This window comes from Homo sapiens, chromosome 4 (genome assembly GCF_000001405.40).
Source record: "Homo sapiens chromosome 4, GRCh38.p14 Primary Assembly".
Lineage (NCBI taxonomy): Eukaryota > Metazoa > Chordata > Mammalia > Primates > Hominidae > Homo > Homo sapiens.
The window spans coordinates 131,265,241-131,266,900 of NC_000004.12; positions in this window are offsets into that span (position 1 = coordinate 131,265,241).

Consider the following 1,660-nt stretch of genomic DNA (forward strand, 5'->3'; position numbering starts at 1 on the left):
GGCGCCCGCTACCACGCCCGGCTAATTTTTTGTATTTTTAGTAGAGACGGGGTTTCACCGTGTTAGCCAGGATGGTCTCGATCTCCTGACCTCGTGATCCGCCCGCCTCGGCCTCCCAAAGTGCTGGGATTACAGGCGTGAGCCACCGCGCCCGGCCAATATTCTTACTTTAACATAGTTTTTCTAAAGAATATTAAGACCATCACATACAATGTATGCATTGCATATTTCCCTCTTTCCAAGCAGAAAGCCAGAAACTGGACAAAACACTCATTTTGTCAAACCATTTTATTGCTTCCTAGGGACATATTGTACTTATTGCCACAGTAGATACAAAATTTTTCTTATTTTAAAAACTGAAATTGTCCTTGTCTTTTTTTTGTCCTTGTCTTCCCATGTTGTAGAAAACAATTTGTTAAAGTTATCTTGATAGATTTCTTCAGACGAAGGAAAATGATATCAACTTGCTTATTACAGAGAATATATTGTCATAATCTGAGTTTGAATATAAATTTATTAAACATGTTCAGTTGTCTATGCCCAGGGAAGAAAAAAGAAAATTAAATAAATATGTGGGTTTCTGAGTATGTGTATATATCACCATCAGGAGACACCTGCCAGTAATTTTATTACACACTCCACAAATATTTTTTTATATGCTGGTGAGTTATGGCTGCTCAATGACGTTTAAGTATATTTTACAAAGAGATATGGAAGACACTGCCAACTGACATGAAACTCAACTAAATAATACAATTTGGATTGAAAGCCATCTGGGCACTGTAATTGCTCACCATAATGCAACTTAATAGAAAACAGTCAAGCTAGTACACAAAAAATAATTAATTAATTAATTAATTAATTAATTAAAAAAACAGACAACAGGTGTATTTATGCAAACTGTAGTGCAGAGAATGGACCATGTTAGAGAACTCATATGGAAAAAAAATGTCTGATTACTAAAAAGGAGGCTCTTTTGATAGGCTATAGTTTTAGAGCAATTAAATATTGAATTAGAGTTGTTAAAGTGTATTTAATAACATCTAAACTATGAAAGGGTCAGTAGATAGAGATTAAGTCATTTCTCTGGTAACAATTTCTCCAGTGCCAATAGTAACAGGCTCTTGTCTTCATCAAGAAATGAAAGAGACATATAAAGAATTATATGCAGTCAGAAATTCCTCAGTAGTCCCCCCCACCAAAACATTTATTTTATTTCAGGTAAGGCTGAATCACAACCACATCTGTAGAAAGAAGTAAGCACACTTCCAAAGAGTTCAATCCAGAGGTTCACCATTTGGGCAGGTTTAGCAGATGCATCTTGGAAAAAGACTGGTGAAGATGCCTGAAAGAAATATCCTCGGCAATTCCCGACATAAGAGAACACTGATTAGTAATGCAATCCTCATATTACCACCAAGAAAGAAGAACACAGTCCTGCTCTTTGCAAGGGATCAATGAATCCATGGGGGGATAATGTGAAAATTTTATTTTATTTTTCTTGTTTCCCCACCGCCCCCCACAGGGCTTGGCTGACAGCAGCCCACAATAAGAAAGTTAGGGAGATACATTCAGAATAAGAGTTTAGAGTTGGTGCCCAGAAGTTGATTAATTTGGATATAGTGAAAGGGCTAAACACTGTGCATATGTTCATTTGGGA